Source organism: Homo sapiens, chromosome 2 (assembly GCF_000001405.40).
Source record: "Homo sapiens chromosome 2, GRCh38.p14 Primary Assembly".
In the NCBI taxonomy this organism is placed as follows: Eukaryota; Metazoa; Chordata; class Mammalia; order Primates; family Hominidae; genus Homo; species Homo sapiens.
The window spans coordinates 211,779,871-211,800,193 of NC_000002.12; the positions used below are offsets into that span (position 1 = coordinate 211,779,871).

Below are 20,323 nucleotides of genomic sequence, written 5' to 3' on the forward strand. Positions count from 1 at the left end.
TTGTCAGAGTTAATTTATAGGCTAAACCCTATATGTCTCAATGGCTCATCCAGTTCAATTAGGCCTTCAAAATGCCACATCTCCTATTACAGAAGAAGTACTCACTTTCCATGACCACGCCCTTATAATTATTTTTTATAATTATACACACACACACAATTTGGCAAAAGGTTGTTTGAGAGGAACTTATCATATATAATAAAAATGAAGGCTGGGCGCAGTGGCTCATGCCTGTAATCTTAGCACTTTGTGAGGCTGTGGCGGGAGGATAACTTGTGCCCAGAAGTTGGAGTCTAGCCTGGGTAACGTAGGGAGAGCCTGTCTCTACAAACAGTAAAAAACAATTATCTGGGTGTAGTGGCATGCATCTGTGGTCTCAGCTACTCAAGAGGCTGAAACAGGAGGATTGCCTGAACCCAAGCGGTCGAGGCTCCAGTGAGCTGTGATTGCACCACTGCACTCCAACTGGGTGACAGAGCAAGACCCAGTCTAAAAAAATAAAAAATAAACAAAAGAAAAGAAAATAAAGATGTATATTGAAAACTGTACTCAAAAAGTGAAACAATACATTTTCATCTCAAGGAACTAAGAGACAAGAAAACCAGGCTAGCAGGTGTATTGTGCTTGCTTCCGTAATGTTCTTAGTAAAACTTAATTCCTAGAGTGAGTTTCAGTTGACCTGGAAAGCCTCTTCTTATAAATAGAGTGTCAAAGGCCTTCTATGGTGTGGGTCAGGTGCAAGTCCTTACTTTCTCAAAACAGCATTAAAAAGGCAGCTGAGCTGCCACTTGATCTTAGTGCATTCTTTTTTAAACACATTTTAGATTCTGTTAGTTCTCTTTGCTAATATTTTATTCAGAAAAATTGCATCTGAATTCATAAGTGATCTTAAGTTCTTTTGTTTTTTGTTTTATTAAAACAGGTCCATAAAAATCTGTTTTATCGGTATTTTAGAAAAATGATCTTTTGGATTCATACAGATTCAATGTATCCTTTCCATGTCTGATGTTTTTCATATATTCCCATTTCCATAATTTAGGGTTTTATTTAAAAATATCTTTTGAAAACAGTGTGATTTCATTCTGTGTATACATTTATGCAAAGTTAGATGTATTGTATGTCTAATGCACACAAACTGAAGCTGTACTAAAATACATCGAGGGTAAATTTTCTTGCTACTTTTTTATTTCTTATTTTTTGCTTTACTACACAATACCTTAGAAAGGCACATCTATTTTACCTAAATATTTTCATATAGAAGGAGTAACACAAGTTGGTAATGTAATAGATGAGGTTTAATTGTACTCTATCTCGAGAATTCTATTTCAAGAAAGCTAGTTATATGTAATACAAAGTGCAATATTAATTAGGAGTGGGTCATTACTATGATATGTAAAAGTCACTGAAAAAAAAGTTTAAAACATGGACAGAATGAATGCAGGCAGAACATCTGGTTAAACAAGTAATTAGTCCTGGAATTATGTTCATGATTATAGTGGTATCTATGAATTTGCCAATTCCCCCTCTCCCACTTCAGTTGTTAGTTGGTATTTGGTTCTAGAAAGCAACTAAGAATGAGTGATGTACCTGGCGTAATCAAAGAAAAAGGTTGTAGGGACTGGAGCAGCTGAGGATTGTTCTTCTCAGTGTCTTGATGAGCTAAACCTATGAGAGACAACCTTCTAGTTACTAAAACACACTTAAAATGTAGAAACATAGTTAAATGTCAATGAATATATAATGAAAATGTAACTGTCACATATTTTAAAAATACTTCTGTCCTCATATGGTCAATTCATATAAAAATTATAATTGCAAGGTCCTTTATTCTTTTGTCATAAGAAATCACCCTTGGATTGACACATTAACTCATTTATTGCTCGTAATAGCCCTATGAAGTTGATAATAATAACAGCTCCTGGGCAAAAAAAAAGAAAAACCTATGTGTAATCTTTCAGGCAGGAGCACAGACAATTACTTTACCTGGCAGGCCTCCTGGGGCTTCAAAGCTGTCCTCCCACGCCAGACTTGGTGCCCAGTCAATGCACTGCAGTCTCTAAGGGGGTTGCAGTAAGACACTCAGGGTTTGCTGACCAGCCATGTCTCATATATGTCTCCCATCCTGGCCCAGGTACGCTATTCATAGACCTCTTTATTAAGGTCTTTTGACAGCGGTTTTCCTTAGGTGCTTTCACTAAAATCTCCTTAAGGGGAGGAAGTAAGGGGGCCTGGAAGACACCTTTTCTCCACTCTGACTCCATACTTAGTACTTTTCACTCAGGCCTTCCCACCCCTCTCTCCTTCAAGCTTCCAGGTTCATAAAACTTTCAGAACCATTTTTTTTGCCACTCCCTCCTCAGTGAAACAATTCCCCATGTCTGCACTCATCCATCTGACCCTCAGCTGGCACTGTTCTATGGAAGAAACATGAGACTGTGAAGTTGATGCTTTTTCTGGTTTAGCCTTTGGAATAAACTATTGCAGTAAGTGATTAAAAGCTTGACTGTTATCCTCATTTTTGCTTGTCTGAATTGACCACTGTCACCTAGCAGCTTAGCTGTCAGCTCAGCTCAGCTCAGCTCAGCTCTTGACACTCTCTGTCTTTTATAGGTAAGGAGATAGAGTGACTGAGGGCATAGATGACTTGCTTAAGGTCAAATTGCTGGTAAGCAGCAGTGCCATGATGTAAATAAGTTGCCCTCTAAAATTTAAGCAAATAGGAATATACAAGAACATTAATATGGAAAAATAGAGAAACAATGATTTCTCATCAGAGAAGATGGTGTAGTTCAGAGAATGGATTCGGGAGCCAAACTGTGTGGTATTATTTCTGAGGGCTCTGTTCTGTTCCATTGGTCTATATCTCTGTTTTGGTACCAGTACCATGCTGTTTGGGTTACTGTAGCCTTGTAGTACAGTTTGAAGTCAGGTAGCATGATGCCTACAGCTTTGTTCTTTTGGCTTAGGATTGACTTGGCGATACGGGCTCTTTTTTGGTTCCATATGAACTTTAAAGTAGTTTTTTCCAATTCTGTGAAGAAAGTCATTGGTAGCTTGATGGGGATGGCACTGAATCTATAAATTACCTTGGGCAGTATGGCCATTTTCATGATACTGATCCTTCCTATCCATGAGCGTGGAATGTTCTTCCATTTGTGTCCTATTTTATTTCATTGAGCAGTGGTTTGTAGTTCTGCTTGAAGAGGTCCTTCACATCCCTTGTAAGTTGGATTCCTAGGTATTTTATTCTCTTTGAAGCAATTGTGAATGGGAGTTCACCATGATTTGGCTCTCTGTTTGTCTGTTATTGATGTATAAGAATGCTTGTGATTTTTGCACATTGATTTTGTATCCTGAGACTTTGCTGAAGTTGCTTATCAGCTTAAGAAGATTTTGGGCTGAGACAATGGGGTTTTCTAAATATATAATCATGTCATCTGCAAACGGGACAATTAGACTTCCTCTTTTCCTAATTGAATACCCTTTATTTCTTTCTCCTGCCTGATGGCCCTGGCCAGAACTTCCAACACTGTATTGAATAGGAGTGGTGAGAGAGGGCATCCCTGTCTTGTGCCAGTTTTCAAAGCGAATGCTTCCAGTTTTTGGCCATTCAGTATGATATTGGCTGTGGGTTTGTCATAAATAGCTCTTATTATTTTGAGATACGTCCCATCAGTACCTAATTTATTGAGAGTTTTTAGTATGAAGGGCTGTTGAATTTTGTCAAAGGCCTTTTCTGAATCTATTGAGATAATCACGTGGTTTTTATCTTTGGTTCTGTTTATATGCTGGATTACGTTTATTGATTTGCGTATGTTGAACCACCCTTGCATCCCAGGGATGAAGCCCACTTGATCATGGTGGATAAGCTTTTTGATGTGCTGTTAGATTCGGTTTGCCAGTATTTTATTGAGGATTTTTGCATCAATGTTCACCAGGGATATTGGTCTAAAATTCTCTTTTTTTTGTTGTTTCTCTGCCAGGCTTTGGTATCAGGATGATGCTGGCCTCATAAAATGAGTTAGGGAGGATTCCCTCTTTTTCTCTTGATTGGAATAGTTTCAGAAGGAATGGTACCAGCTCCTCCTTGTACCTCTGGTAGAATTAGACTGTGAATCCATCTGGTCCTGGACTTTTTCATTGGTAGGCTATTAATTATTGCCTCAATTTCAGAGCCTGTTATTGGTCTATTCGGGGATTCAACTTCTTCCTGATTTATTCATAATTACAGTTAAAAAAAGAGAACATAATATTTACCATCTTAACCACTTTTAAGTGTATGTTTAGTAATGTTAAGTATATTCACATTGTTTTCCAACAGATCTCCAGAACTTTTTCAACCTTGAGCAATTGCAACTTGACTCGTTAAAGAGCAATTGGACATTTAGCCTTCCTTCCAACACCTGGCTACCACCATTCTACATTCTGTTTTCTTTGAGTTTGACAGTTGAGTTACTTCATGTAAGTGAAATCATACAGTATTTATGTTTTTGTGACTGGCTTATTTCCTTTAGCATAGTGTCCTCAAGATTTATTCATGTTGTAGCATGTGACCAGATCTCCTTCCTTTTTCAAGCTGGATAATATTTCATCATTGTATGTATATACTGCATTTTGTTTATTCAATCATCCATATATGACATTTGGGTTGCTTCCACCTCTCAGTTATTATGAATAATGCTGCTATGAGCATAGATATGCAAATATCTCATTGAGAACCTGCATTTAATTCCTTTGGATATATATCCAGAAGTGGGATTGCTGTGTCATATGATAATTCTATTTTTAATTTTTGAGAAACCACCAGACTATTTTCCATAGTGGTCACACCATTTTACAATCCCACCAAGAAGGATTCCAATTTCTTCACCTCCTCACATTTGTTATTTTCTTTTTTATATTTTAATATTAGACATCCTAATAAGTGGGAGACAATATCTTATTGTGGTTTTGATATGATTTTGGGGTTGGTTTTTCTCTAATGATTAGTAATGTTGAGCATCTTTTTATATGCTTGTTGGCCCTTTGTGTACCATCTTGTAGAAATGTCTATACAAATCTTTTGCTCACTTTTTCATTGGATTATTTGCTTCATGTTATTGAGTTGCAGGTTCTACATATATTCTGGATATTAATTCCCTATCAGATACATGATTTACAAATATTTTTCCCTTTCTATAGGTTACCTTTCATTCTGTTGATTGTACCTTTTGATGCACAGCCTTTTTTTTTTTTTTTTTTTTATTTTTTGAGACGGAGTCTCACTCTGTCCCCAGGCTGGAGTGCAGTGGTGCCATCTCGGCTCACTGCAAGCCCCGCCTCCTGGGTTCACGCCATTCTCCAGCCTCAGCCTCCCGAGTAGCTGGGACTACAGGTGCCTGCCACCACGCCCGGCTAATTTTTTGTATTTTTAGTAGAGGCGGGGTTTCACCGTGTTAGCCAGGATGGTCTCGCTCTCCTGATCGCGTGATCCGCCCACCTCAGTCTTCCAAAGTGCTGGGATTACAGGCGTGAGCCACCGCCCCCAGCCGCACAGACGTTTTTAAGTTTAATATCGTCCCATTTGTCTATTTTAGCTTTTGCTGTTGGTGTTTTTGGTGTTATATCCACGAATTTATTGCTCAACCTAGGGTCATAAAGCTTTCCCCCTATATTTTCTGCCAAGACTTTTATAGTTTTAAGTCTTATGCTTAGGTCTGTAATTCGCTTTTGAGTTAATTTTTGAACATGGCATATGATGAGGCCCAAGTTCAATCTTTTGCACATGGATATCCAGTTTTCCCAACACCATTTGTTGAAGAGACTTCCCTTTAAAATATATTATTTATGCCTATCACTGCTTGAAAATGATATTAGATATTAATCCTACTGCTAATATTTTTAATTTAATGTATGAATAAGCATATTACTATATTAGGTATCTGTTTCTTAAGCATTTTGATAAATGTATCTCAACCTAACTTATTTTCCTTGTAATCCATTGTAATTCATTTTATGTATTTATTGATTGCTATGCATTCATGAATTAAAGTATTTGTTTTGTGCTCATTTTTTCTTCTAAAAATATTATGAGAAGAGGTCAATGGGCTTCACCAGGATGCTACAGTGTCCATTGCCTCAAAAAATATTAAAAATTCAGAGTTTGTTTTAGTAATTTAGACAGATGAAGTCTTGAACTAGGGCAATCATAATAATAAATATGTAAAATCAAGAAATGGGCAAAGATCAGGATGACTCGGTGATTAACTCCCAAGAGCCAAGTGAAAGTAAAGATAATAATGACCCCCCAAATTTTTAACTTGGTTGAGTGATTGGTTGGTGGTATGTAGTTCTAGGGAGTCATCAACCTAGAGGTTGCATTTAAAACCCTGAGAGTGTCTGAGATTACCTCTGGGGAGAAGACAGAGAAATAAATTGACTAAAGATAAAACCATAATAGTCAAAAAACAGTCAATTCATTATTAATAGCTATGGTGTCATGCAGTACATATAATGTGTCAGCAAATAAAACTACTATGTAAATAATAAAACTTTGGCAATCAATTGGTAGTTAATTTGTAAAAGACCATTGGTTATGACTCTACTCTGCATTTATAATTTTTGCACCTGCAATTATTTACATGAAAAAAACAATACAGCCACAGTTGCCTAATTATAGGCACAACCATCCAAATTTGTCTTCAAAAAGAATAGCACAAAGAGACACCATCTGTGAAAGTGCAGCAAACCCCTCAGACCTTTCCTGCTCCAAATTCTGTAAGGCTGGTGGGCACACTTCCCTTTTGGCTTCTGTCTCAGGCTCTATTCTTGCACGATCTTATTCATGCCTTACAGACCAGTCAGTCTGATAAGCTGAGAGTCAGCAGGTCTTTCCTTTTACCCAACCAATATCCACACCTCCCCACCACTACCCTGCCAATATAATATGTGCAATAGCATGGGCAGACTGAAAACAGAAGGCATTTCTGAAACACATCATTTGTCTTGTTAATGTGAAAAGATTCCATTTTTCTCACATGTAATTTTACAAAGTAGGCAACATGAATGCCATAAAGGGAAAATCCCATACAAATTTCTGTTCAAAGGTGACAAGAAAATTATGTTACTCTACTTTTTACATAAAGTTTTAGCCATTTATTAAAAACACAGCTGTCAGTTTTGATCAAATACATTCATATTTCCCATTATATTATTAGGGCCATGATGAAATTTAATAATTGTCCCTTGGAGTTTGATTTTTCACAAAAATGTCATAACACAATCAGTAATATAGCAAATAATTATTGAACTATGTTGAGACAGTTATGATTTCAGGTGGGAAATATATAATAGATGAGAAATATAAAACCCAGGTTAACACTTGATGAAAATTCTGTTTTCATACAAATGTCAGTAATAATAAATGTGGGGATCACATAGCCTGCTTTATGAAAATGAAACAGATACCAGACAGAATAATTTTCAAAGGTTTAAATCATGGTTCAAATATTACTTGCTTATTATTAAATCATATTAAACACTTTAAATCTGATAAATTCTTTGTGGTAGAAAGAATACACATTTTAAGAATGAGAAATTCAGTAGTTTATTCGACTAATGACTAAAATCAGACTGTAACATGTTTCTTCTATATGAAATCTATATTTCTCCATTCCATAAGTGTTTGAAATTATCATAAAGTATGACCACGAAGGCTTCAGGGGCAAATGAAGGCTTAAGAATTCTCAATGTTCACTAGTTTTTACTTTTTTATTGAAAAAATTATAGTGAATAGGAAGGTACATTTTTGTTCTACTACCTTTGTCTCAATGGGATATGGGTCACAGAGACTTGAAGCAATAGTTAGATACCAGCCTTAAGTTTGTGGATAGTGGAACACACATTTGTACATTGGAAGTATGATAAAGTAATTTAAATTAAGCAAAGAGGAACATGTTAACAAAATGAGAATTTGTGAAGAGGAAACATGATTTCCAAAAGAGAATTAGCTAGAAGTAAAAGGTTGATCAGCCATTTGTTCTGCCATATATAACTGAACATTTCAATGAATGCAATCAAAGTTCAAAATATTAGTAATGACATAATAAGCATAACTCATTCATCGCCACATAGGGTAGAACATTTTGAGAAATTAAAAAGAATAATTCTACTTACATCCTGAACTACCATTTGTTGACACAAGAGTCAAGTTGGAAGGCCATGGGTTCCGAACAATATCTTGCCAATGAATGGTGTCTGCATAACAAAGGAATTTGTTCTGGTCTACATAGACTCCACCATTTAGGATTTCTGTATTAAAAAACAAATAAACAAATTTTTTGTCAAACTGCTTGTTGATGAAAAGGTAATCAACAAAAGTGATTTGCTCTTAACTATTTTCAATGTTAAATTAGAGTCATGTTGCTAATAGCCAAGATATCTTTTAAAATATCTTTCAATGAATCATATACATTGATTACAGGAATTTGAAAAGATTAAAAATTACAAAAGTGAAAAACAACCACTCATATTCTACACTCTGAGAGTAACACTCCTAACATTTTGGTATAAATGTTACAGTCTTTTATCTGTTTTCTTCCCTGGAATTGAAATAATATTTTATATAATATTTTATAACCTGCTTGTTTAGTTTAATATTATGTAGTGAGTACTTAATGGTAATTACTACTCTGTATTTTAATGAGAACAGGATATGTCATAGTATAAATTAAATGGTAATTATTTAACCAATCCTCTCTTGTTGGTAATTTAACTTATTTATCTCTCATTGGTCTTTACAACAAATTTCCACACATGACATTCCAAGGTCATAGAGTGTGGATAGTTTTAAGATATTTGGTATCAATTGTCATATTATCCTTAGAGAGATTGTTTCAGTCAAGGTGACATTGACTGCAGTCAGTAGGTAAGTAATTAGCACAAAGTGGAAGCTAAAATTAATGCCTCAATCACAAAAATGTTGTCATCTCAAATGAAATCGATAAGATTGCCAATTATTCTTAACAACACAAAGCAATGTATAACAAATCCTGTGGTTCACTGAAGTAAGGATACGGCTGTGGGATAACATGCACTAAAGCCAATTTGTACTTGATTCTTTATTTCACAACACTGGCCTTGATTAGCTAATTTGTCCTCCACAAACAATGACTGACCACAGAAATGAATTCTCTTTCGGATAGCTTTAAGTTATCCAGGAAAATAAAAACTGAAATATATCCTCTGAAAATATTATTCTTATTATTTGAAGAAATTAGCTACAAATACACATAGCACCTTCCAGCCCAATATGTACCACATTTCCCCTTCCTGTTCAATACAAAAGCAATTTAAGAGAAATCATGCATCAGTCCATAAAGTGTTCAACTACAATTAATCAAAACCCAATCAACAGTTTATAGAGATAGGGGATTTCTTTTTTCACATAAGAAACCTATAGGAGGCAGTTGCAGATATTAGTTCAGCTGTTCCGCAGTGCCCACTATCTGTTCTGCCATCCTCAGTGTGTCAGTTTTATTCATTTCAGGCACAAGATGGCTGCTACATCTAAAAACTAAACTGCAGTCCTTCTGAATTGCAGGCAGGATGAAGTCACAAGAGCAAGCAAGAGACTTCCTCCTAGTGAAGCTGTGACTTTTTATTTGAGAAGAAATGCTCTCCTTGAGGATTATGTCTGCATTTAACTGGCCAGAACAATATCCCATGGTTATCTCTACCGCAAGAGAGATTGAATAAGTAACTATTGAGGTGGAAATATTGCTACTGGGACAAAACCCAGACCAGCAGGGGTGTTAGTGAGGAAGAAGAGGGACATGGATATTGGGAAGGCAACCGACACCATCTCCCACGGTAGCCTTGAGAAATTCATCTCTCTTGTGTGGAACCCCAAGCTAAGTTTGTAGGAGTCATCTTCAACTGAAGAGAGATAAATGAAAGGAACGTGTCACACCACAAGAGGGTTATTTGTGGACTGGTGGTCACATCCCAAGTGCCTTACTGCATTGCATGTACGAAACCCTCCAGATTAGTTTTGATATTGTAGTTCTTTCTACATTTAAAATCACTCCCATTTTCATCATCAGTCATTTCACTGACTATTGGTTCCATTTTGTCGGTGAGGAAAAAAAAAGAAAAGAAATTAGATCATCTTTCTACTTCTAAAACCCAGTTCATTATTTTTTATGACCTAACCATACAACCTTCATCAAAGCAGAAGGGAGACGTAAGACGTAAGAAAGATTGTGAAATGGATTTCTACATTAATGTTTGGCATTAAGTTTTTATCTACGAAATGTGATGATCTCATACTAATAGCTTTCTCATGAGACATTAGGTGATGCTCTTCTGCTCTAGGAATAATTTTCCATTAGGTGACAAAGAAAGGAGATTTTGACTGCTATCCAGGAAATAAAGGTTATTTTTCAGTCTACATTTAGAAAAGTTCTACTTAAAAAAAAAAGTGAAAAGGTAATAGCTCAAACATTGCAGAAAGAGTGTATATTTTTCAGGAGTCACATTGTATTTCAAATAGTTCATACAAAGGAACACAGTATCCATCTCCAACTTCCTATCTAAAATTTTTCAAATAGAATCAGATTATATTATACTGAATAATAGTCTTATCAAATCCCTTTCTTCAACAGTATTAATCTGCTATGAATGTTGACATTTGTTTCTTAGAAATAGTCTGTTCGAGAGCTTGGCTTATACTTGGAAAAGGGATTTAGAAAGGAGACAATAATAAATCCAGCATAATCTTACACGTTAACATTTCAAATTAAGACACATGATCAATCCAGATGATACTTTTATCATTCCTAATTCAAAACTCAGCATCTGCTAGCAATTCTGGTCAGGAGGATTTATAAATGTTTAGCAATTAATGATGGGTAGTTTATTTATGTATTGTTTGTTTTCCTTGAAAATATTCTTTTTTCCTTTATGTTTGGTATACACCCTATTCTGCTGTTGAATGTCAAAGCCTCACAGTCAGAGAATGTAGAATTTCATTGACACTTATAGGACAGTTTTAATGTACAGTCTTACACTTTCTTTTGATTAATTTGATTACCTAAATATGTGTCAGAAAGTAATGTTATAATGGCATTTACATATATTCTTAAAGTTTTCATTGATTTTGTAACTTTACATTTTTAAAATATGAATTTGACATATTTTTGTGAGAAAATATACTCAGGTATGTTTATTACTGTATTAAAAAAATTCTAGAGAATAGATACTAACCTGTAAGAAAGTTCTTAGAGATACAAATTATTTACTTGTTAGAAGGACTGCCTAATGTTTCTGTCTTGGTTGACTACAGAGGCTTGACCGCATTTTTTAGATAAGAAAGAGGGACAAGGATTAGGAAAAGAGAAAAGTTTGTTTAGATGTTTATCTAATAAGAGTACAAAAATGTCTGGCTATATTTAGATCTTGTGGTGACACACAAGAATAACAAAGTTTTCCACAAGTTTTATCAAAGATTTTACAAAGGAATCACCTGTGTTATACCAACCAACAGTTTCCCCCCACTAACATGAAATAAAGTAACAAATAAATGTTAAGAAAGATAGGCAAAGGAGGCACACATTTAATTGATACTCAAAGAAAGATGCAAAGTGTCTGGATGAGTGCAGAAGCTAAAAAAAAAATGTTGAATGCGTGAATGAGTTCAAAGTATCTCATTTCATTTTATTTTACTTCCACTGCAGAAAATTATCAGAGTAAATTGAGAGAGACACAGATAGATTCTTGGTCATTGAATCAATTGATAGAAAAAAGCTGCTATGAGTTTTCTTATCATATTATACACAAATATTTCTGGCAAGTTCACAAAACAGAACTGTCTCTTTTTAATAAATGTCATGGTTAAATAGAGTAAGATATATTAGACATGACATCGATGAAAAAAGTATCATTTCATTGCTGAAAATTTCCAGTAAACACTTAAATATGTTTGTGTCTCAAACGTTTCCGACTAGATTAATGCATGCAAGTTGAGTAAAAGATGTCACGAATCTTTTTTTATTTAGAGTAAATTGTAATCTACACTATTTTCCAATATCTTGAATTTAACTTATATATAGCATAGTATTTGTAGCTGAGATATAATTAGACTAAGCCCCATGAAGGTAAGAAATGTTTTTCAGTGCTGTATCTATAGCATCAAACCTAGAGCAACAGTCACTCCATGAATAATTGTTAGATTTAATTGTGTATGGAAAAAAAGTACCATGGAATTTGCAATCAATATTTATAAGGTAACTTCTATTGTAGTTCCTAATTTTAAATTATATTCTGACCAAATCAAAGTAAGAATGAAAGTTATCGTTTCCCATAAACACTCTACAGGTTATCTTGACTGGTCCTATGTTTCATAAAGTATGAAGCTGTTACTGTTTTGTTCAAAACCATATCTCCAGTTTCAATATTATGCAAGGCTCAAGGTGATACACAATAAATATTTGATTAATTGAAATATCTATACAGAATATCTTGAATTTAAGAAAATATATATATATAATTCTGTGGTTAGAGAAAGCCGAAAGGAAAATAGCATTTATTATATAAAACGCATATAACTGATAATATACAATATTACTGCAGACAATACATTTGATATTTATAAGGCATTTTTACTCCCTAACCTATTTTGTACACAAAACTCAATTATTAGTTACCAGGTAAATAATGACGATCTTTAGCTATCCCATACAGACCAAATTTCTCTAAGCCTGTGCAAATCACCTTGCATATGCTACAGAGAAGCCTAAATTTTCTTGTATTGAACTGTAAGTCTACCTCACATTGTCCTTACATTTTTCAGAAAGGTATAAACTGCCAATATGACATTTGAAAAAGGACAGAAAGTATTTGTATCTTTGTCATTCACTCCACAAAGGTTAACCATTGGACCATGTCTTTCCTTGATTTCCATTTTCATGAGTCTAATAAATAAGGAAATGTTTGTGTTATTTAAATAACTTCTTTTGTATTCTTCATTTCTTGTCAAATGCTAGTTACTGCAGTGAATTTGGGGATGAGTGCCCATTAACAGAATCATTGACATTTTGCAAATATATTATCTCCAAAACTATGGTAAAATACTGAATAATAGCTTTTTTTCTCTGCCCTGTATGAAATGACCTAATTGTGATGTAACATCCCTGCTGAAAATACAGATTAATATGACCCCTTTACTAGGTTTAAGAAATTTACAAAATTGCATGGACCCCATGCACAATTTGTAACCATTTTGTGAATAAGATTGAATATCTTTCTCTTTTTCCAAAATAAAGATTATAATTTTAAATGCAGTTACACTATATTTCACTTTAGTCTATATGATCGATATTATCAGTGAACATTTTAATTCTACTCAAAATCTACCAACCATATGATATAAGAAGGATCTAATAAACAGGAATGAAATATTTAACCTCTATCCCTGATTGTATATCTAAGTATTTTGTTTTGCAGGGGTGCATCTACAGGTCAACCTTAGAATTAAAATGATAATTAAAATAATAAAGATTAGAAATATTGCACTTATCTAATCACAATAGGCGCATTTAAATAATGCATATGTCAGACTTATACTATCTATCTAAGTCAAAGGGCAGAATCAAGAATCAAAATCCAAGGCAGCAAAACCCATTTTCAAGATGAAGCCACAGAAAGCAGTTACAAGACTTTCTCGGACATAAAGCAATGTATCTTTCTCACTGTCATCACCTTAAGCCACACAAGTCTGTTGGCAGATAATGATACAAAAGTAATATAGCTCACATCATCCACCTATGATACTTAATACATGATCTCTGGAATGGACTTGGTCCAGAGATTCCTGTATCTTTCCCAAACCCAGACCTTTCAGCTGGGAGCACAATGAATTGCTGCTACCCCACTGGGTCAGCCCTCAAGGTTCATTATTAATAAGCTGAGACTCAAAAGGCTAATGAGAACCGGGTGCTTGAGGAGACAATGGCTCATTCATCATCAATCAAGCTTTGAAGTTTTTATACAGATGATTTAAGGAGAGTTGAAGTGTGCAAAATTGAAATGTCACGTTTGTATTGGGAGCGGGTAGAGGGTGATAATGTAAATGAGTGACGTAACCTTCTATATTTCAGCTCGATGATCAGAGTCAAAAGCTCATGGATGCAGATACCAAATGTTTTTCCATCAGAGTATAGCAATTTCAAGATGAAATTATTAGATCCACTGGCTGAAAATCAGCTTAAGATAGAAAATAATATCTTGATTTCAATTGAATGAAGCTCAGTAATGCTTGTTGCAATGTTCTAACTTATTAATACATACTTCAGTATCCACTACAATTCTTAGCTTTCATTATGTTTCAGGTTTGAGTTCTAGCTCCTCTGAGAGGTTTGCTATGACCACCTAGTTCTTAGAGTTCCCCCTTCCTCTAACTCCTGTAACACTGATTACCCGAGCCACTTATCTGACATAGAGCAAATGCTACCTTACCTTCTTATATATTCTTTTGTGTATTTGCCTTGTCTCCCCTATCTTATTGGAGGTCCCTCAAGGATTAGAACTATGATGTACACCTCTTTGTGTCCCTAGTGCCAAAGAAAGTGTCAAGCACATAGTAGAATTTCAAATGTTTTTGATGATTATGATAATGATAACATCCATAGAACATGACCAACTTTTGTAAAAAATTACTTGCTTAGTGATAGCATAATGTTAGTGATATGCACTAGATATTTACATTGTAAATCCCATAAAATATTGAATACATTTATTTTGATCTTAATATATTCTTTCTGTCCTAATATTAAGAAAGTAGTAATCCACTTAAACTCATTGATATTCCCCGGAAAAAATTAAAACTATATTTTATCTTGTAACAGTACTCAAATTATGAACATAGGATTTCCTTCTCAAATTGTCTTATTATATAATCCCATACGTGTGTCAACGTCTAACTTTTTTCTAATAATTTTCCCGAGATTTGTATTCTCCCTGTGTTTTCTTATTTCTGTTAAAATCAACATAAATGCTGTAAAAGTCACATAGACTCAAAGTTTGAAATTTATTACTATTTCCTTTATTTCTATATTTAACCATTTATGGTGCTCTACAGAAAATTTCTCATAGTGTCTCTTTTTATATCCACAACTGCTACTTAATTCAGGTTCTATCATCTCATACCAGATTTAACTTCTTGCCTGTAATCTATTCTCCCCACAAATCCATCTTGCATATTAAAGTCATAATATATGCTATATTATAAAGAGATAGATAATATACTCTAGGTAGGTGGAGAGAGACAGGTGGTAGGGGAGAGAAATCCTGCTCTATCACGGCTTTGAATTGTAAAGGCAATAATACTGAATCTAGTTGACTGGATAAAATAAAGCTCATAATCTAGTTTTGTTTCAACAAAGCAAAGGTGGGCCTTGTCCACCTTTATGAAGCTGAGTTTGCTCAATTCTGTGATGGGTTTATTGTACTCACGGTATCTGTCGCATAGTTGCTTCTATTATAATTTTAAATTGCTAATTATTTAAATAGTGGTTACTTCTTGGTATGAGCAAGGAATATGCTTCTTTTGAGTATTCATACTAACATTGCTTTAATCAGTATTAGATTAGGTTGTAGTTTAAAGAGTATAGACATTTTTTTCTTCTATATAAAAATCTGGCTAGGTTATTTAAGGCTATTATATAAAAATCCACAATCATCAGGGAGCCCCATTCTATTTTGTTCTTGTTTCTCTACCATCTTCAATACAAGAGGAGTTTCCAACTGGCAAAAACCATGCAAAAGACGGAGAAAATCATGAAGGACAAAAGAACAGAGGAAGAGTACATGTATTTTAATGAAAATTCCTGCAAATTGCCACAGCACAATTATACTTGTATCTCGTTGGTCAGAATGAAGTCAACGAGCCACAGCTAGGTGCATGGAAGGAAGGGAATTAAAGTATTCATTCTGGGTGATCATATGAGTAGCTAAACTTTATATACTATTTAAAATTTAGAAAGTGGTAATAGATATTGGTGACAACTAGCAGTCTCTGTTATAGTGACTCAAAAGAAACCTCGCATCTTCTGGATATTTATAAAACATAAATCTTGTGACTTGAACAAATGTAAAGCTTTTTAAGAAACTTTTTAATTGAATTATAATATACACACATAGATGTGCATTATCATATTCAATTAACTTTTACAAACTGAACACACTTATGTAACCAGCACTCAGATCAAGAGCTTGAGCCATACCAACACCACAGCAGCCTTCCTCATACTTTCCACCTCATGTCACTCTATCAGAACCCTGATCCTGACTTTGAGCAAGATAATGTGTGCTTATTTTTGTATTTTACGTATATAGAATCATACCATACGTATTCTCTTGTGTCTGGCTCCTTTTGCTCGATATTATGTTTGTGAAATTCATCTATATTGTTTATTTTCATTGTTGTGTGGTATTCCATGGTTTGTCAATTCTGCATTGATGGGCATTTGGATACTTTCCACACTTGGGCTATTATAAATAACTGCTGCTATGCACTTCCTAGAAAATGCCTTTAGATGATTATATGTACACATTTATGTTGCGTGTATACCTAGAAGTAGTACTGCTGGGTCATAGTGATAATCACTTTTTATTTAACCAATTTAACTTATTTATATGCCCATTAGTAGTATATGAGAAATCTAGTTGCTTCTTGACCTTGTCAAGTCTTGATTATTAGTTGGTTTTGTTGTATTTCATTGTAGTCACTCTTATTGGTGTATAGTGGTATTATTTTAATTTGCACTTCCCTAGTGACTACTGAAGTTGACCTTCTTAAATACTATCTTTAAAGAGTAATTTTTAAAGGCAAGAGATTTATTTCTGTTTACTCCAAGAAAGGTCTTACTATGTGTAAAACATTTACAAAGCACTGTTAAAAACCTGATCTTTAAGTTATTGGCAAACAATTTAGTAAAATAATTTATCAGGTGTAACCCTCATAACTTATTTTTGTTGTTATTGTTAAGAGATCTGGTTCAATGTTTTGAAAATGACACTTTAAAATGTCTTAGAAAAAATTAAAACTACATTAATAATTATAAAGAGTAAAATACGATTTCTGGAAGACGGATGGGAAAATTCACAGTAGGTGATTATCTCTCTGATAACAGACAAACACAACCAAAGGTATATAAAAAGGATGAGAAATTTAATGTCTTCTTGCTATTAAAATAGAACACTCTTTTACATAAAGCTCACATATTTTTATTCCTATATCCACCAGAAAGCCCTCATTACAGACAACAATCCTCTTAAATAACTGTTCCAAGTTTCCAGAAAATGTAATTGCTTCAGTAGAACAAATCAGTAGAGTTCAATGTTTTCATTACCAATAAGGGGACGGTCATATTAGTACTCAGAAATGATTTGTCCCTTTTATTTACAGGATTTAATACAATAAGCCTGGGGATATACTGCAAGGTCACTTTCAAATATCTCACCCACTATATTAGTTTGTATAGTTTTAATAACTCTTCTCACAATGTGTGATTTCTACACTATTTCTTTTTTAGAATACTTCAAAAAAGTATGATTTTTCTTGATGACAGTAATAATAAATAATATTGCTATGTATGTTTGTTGCTGGCATGTTAAGACTTGCAAATAAAAGATAAAGCAAGAGAAAGAATAATGATTTACTCTTGTAAGATGATTATATGATTTTCAAATATGTCAAGATTTTTAAAAGGCTATATTTGTGAATATTAAAAATATAAATAAGTGATTTGGGGGCTAGAAGTCTCAGCTAAAATGCCTAGAATGTTAATTTTAAAAATAACACATAAAGACAACACTTTACAAAATAAGAAATTAAAGAAGGAGTCATAAAATAAGATTGCAAGCAAGCCATACTGGAAGATTATTTTAAAAGCCACAACACGAAGGTCCAAATTAATTTTCTTTTAAAATGAAGTTTAAATCTGGAGAAAATCAGGAAGGAATAATTGAATAACAGTAATCATCATTTTATAAAGCACTGGTTGTCAAAATACAAAATATCAGGTACTGTGGCAAAATAGAAAGAAATGGCTTTTTAGATTGCTTTGTATACAGTTTCAAATTAGTATACATTAACTACAGTAAAATGGACAAATTTTAAGCTCTATGTTTTACATATACATGTATACAATATTTGTACATCTGTATCAAGCAGCCGCCACCCAGATAAAGACACAGCATATCTCTATCACTCCAGAAAATTTTCCCTGCTTCATTCCAGTCAATACTGCATAGAAGTCAGCATAGAAAGTCAGCCACTATGCTGACTTCTACCACAACAAATTAGTTTTGCCTCTTTATTAAATTCATAGAAATAGAATCACACAATATGTATCTTATTCCTTTTTCTTATCTTCTTTCCCTGAAAATAATGTTTTTGAGATTTATTTATGCTGTTGCTTTAATTCATAGGCTGTTCATTTTTATTGTTCCGTATTATTCCAGTCTGTGAATATACCACAATTTGTTTATACATTAGTTCACTTTTTAACCATAGATTTGGCACTTTTACTAGGTGGTTGCAGGCAAATTACTTCACGTTTCTTTTCTACCATCTACAAAATTGGAATAATAATCTTTACTTTGTTGGGTTACAATGAGAAATACAGATAATATATACAAAACTCCAGTTACATACTAGGTGTTCAAAAGGTACTAGCTATTTCAAAATAAGTTAATAATATAGTTCAGGAGCTTTGTCTAAACTATTTTAAAACCTATGTACATTGGTCAAAGTACAGGTTTTGGGGGAGAAATGATGACCAAATGAAAACCTTTGAGAGATACATGAAATCCCCATTAAGTTTGGTGCCTAGCATAACAATTTTAGAGATAGATATATTGAGCTAAAATATTATTAAATGTCTTACTAAAGTTAGTTAATTAAAAAATTGGGTTTCTCTGTATTTCATAAGTTAAATTCTTCCTAAGAACAAGATCATAAATTCTATAACTTACTATCTTTCCCACACTGAAGTATCTTAGATATCTGGTTGAGTTAACCCTTTAGTAATTTCCTGTCATTTCTCTAACTATATTCTGTGACAGCATTTAGAGCTGCTAGATTTCCCTCTGTTTGGATCAGGTTGGTGCATAGTTCGTAGGTCACAAAACCTCCCTCACAATCTCCAGGTGGCCTTTACCTCTGCTGTCACTACCACTGTGCTTCAAATAAATTAGCATAAATTCCAAAGTCTTGTACAAGAGAGCTGAGCTCTTTTCTTCCAGGCCAAGGGTCTGGAATTTTTACAGTAGAATAATGAATTAATTCAAAAACACAATATTCTATGGTCCTTACCACCACCCAATCATTTTCTCCACTGTAAAAATTATTTTCATATTGTCACATCTGAGGTCATAAGAGAATAGCCTCCATTATAGCTCTGTAATGTGTATTACCATGTCTTCTAAATTACATAAAGGAACATCTTTTATTTTAGAATGTTTCTGCTTTCATAGGGTAAATAAATATTTTAAAATCTTTGCGGATCTTTGTCTGCTTCTTGAGGCTAGACATAAAGAAAAATTCTAACATGTCTAACAATGCCAGATGGTTTAGTCCACTCAAGATGCCAACATTCAAGAAGGGAAAACTATTGAGAAATTGATATCTGCAGGGGACTGGGTAACCATGACTCTGCCATAGAGCAACAGCCTTTCAGGAAGGGAATTATCAAAAAGTATGAGATAATTTTTGTAGGTATCCTCCCCAAATCTCAGTTCTCTTCTCTATAAAATGGTGATAACTCATAGTGCCACGTTCATGAGGCAACTGAAAGGAGAAAATGAGTTATCATATGTATATGTTGACCACAGTGTCTGCCATGCAACACATGTTCAGTTGATGTACTATTATTATTATTGAGGGAAAGATAAGAAGAGTTCTCTGATAAGCAGATTTCTTCTATCCTGCTTGATGATTTTTCTCCATTTCCTGTCATAAATACCCTTTTCAGAGAGAGCTAAAACCAGGGCAAGACTACTAGGCCACGTTAAAATTCATGGGTTTGTGCATTTGCTCATTTAAAAAAATATATTTTAACCCACTTTTATGAGTTTCACATGCCCTTTTTGGAGCACATTATGCTTCTGGACACCCATAAAATTATTCACAATCACTAAATATAGAACTTTCCTTTTTAAGGGTGGGATTTCTGCACCCCAAAGGCATAGTAAGTGAGACACACAATGATGAAGCAAGTTGCCAAATGCCTCATGCATAGTTGGGGATCAGACTAGGATTCCAAAGTCTGTCTGCCTGGCTCCA

At 34.1% G+C, this 20,323-nt stretch overlaps 1 protein-coding gene across 10 annotated transcripts in view; it reads right to left on the reverse strand.

Annotated features, from left to right (window-relative positions):
- The window catches only part of ERBB4 (erb-b2 receptor tyrosine kinase 4), a 1,163,086-nt gene that overhangs the window by 404,154 nt on the left and 738,609 nt on the right, over positions 1-20,323 (reverse strand). For 5 of the 10 annotated variants that reach the window (XM_017003581.3, XM_017003578.3, XM_017003580.3 and 2 more), the window contains exons 4-5: positions 8,155-8,289; positions 1,588-1,665 (exon numbers count right to left, since the gene is read on the reverse strand). In XM_017003581.3, the coding sequence (XP_016859070.1) occupies positions 1,588-1,665; positions 8,155-8,289 (213 nt within the window). The remainder of the gene's footprint in view (positions 1-1,587; positions 1,666-8,154; positions 8,290-20,323) is intronic. The other 5 variants (NM_001042599.2, NM_005235.3, NM_001439006.1 and 2 more) reach the window with 1 other exon arrangement.